Consider the following 1,300-nt stretch of genomic DNA (forward strand, 5'->3'; position numbering starts at 1 on the left):
TAACTTAACAAAGGATATCTACAAAAACCTAGAGATAACACCATATTTAATTAAGAGAAAATTGATGCTTTCCCCTAAGAGTGGAAACAAGGCAGATATCTCATTTCACCACTTTTGTTTAACATCAAAATGATAGTAGAAGTTAATGCAATAAGATAAAAGGAAATAAAAGGCATACAGATTAGCAAGCATGAAATAAAACTGTCTTTGCTAACAGATGACATCATTTTTTTATGTAGAAAATTCTTTTTAAAAAAAAAACAGCCCCAGAACCAATAAACAATTATAGAAACATTGCAGAATACAGGCTAATACACAAAAGTCAGTTGTGTTCCTATATACCAGCAATGAACAACAGAAATTTAACATTTAAAATGCAATACCATTTATGTGAGCACCAAAAAATGAAATATTTAGGTATAAATATAGGATAATATGTATGGAATCTACATAAGGATAACTACAAAACCTGATGAAAAAAATCAAGGAAGATCTAAATAAACAGGAGCTATTCCATGTTCATGTATAGAAAGACTCAGTACTATTAAGATGTCAATTCTTCCTAATGTGATATGTAGATGCAGTGAAATCTCAACCAAAATCTCATCAGGTTATTTTGTGAATATCAACAAACTGATTCTAAAGCCTATATGGACAAGGGAAAGAAAGAAGAGTCAACACAACCCTGAAGAAGAAAAAAGTTAGCAAACTAACACTACCCAACTTCAAAAATTACTATAAAGCTATAGTAATCAAAACAGTGTGGCATTGGTGAAAGAATACACAAGTATATCAGTGAAACAGAATACAGAGTCCCAGAAGTAGACCAATATAAATATAGTCAACAAGTCTTTGGCCAAGGGGGAAAAAAAACAATGAAGAAAGGATAGTCTCTTCAGCAAATGGTGTTGGACCAACTGCACATCCATATGAAACAAAAAATCTAGACACAGAACTTATACCTTTCACAAACATTAACTCAAAATTGATGATAGATTTAAATGTAAAACATAAAACTATAAAACTTCTAGAAGATAACAGGAGAAAATGCAGCTGTCTTTGGGTTTGATGATGAATATTTAGATACAACACTAAAGCATAATTCACGAACAATGTTAGTTTGTACTTACTAAAACTGAAAACTTCTGCACTGCAAAACGCACTGTTAAGAAAATGTAAAGACAAGCCACAGATTGGGAGAGAACATTTGCAAAACACCTATCTGTTGAAGGATTTGCATTCAAAATATACAAAGAACACTTAACAAAAAAAAATTCAATAAAAACATGGACAAAAGATC

The sequence above is a fragment of the Homo sapiens genome, chromosome 18 (assembly GCF_000001405.40).
Source record: "Homo sapiens chromosome 18, GRCh38.p14 Primary Assembly".
Taxonomy (NCBI): Eukaryota; Metazoa; Chordata; class Mammalia; order Primates; family Hominidae; genus Homo; species Homo sapiens.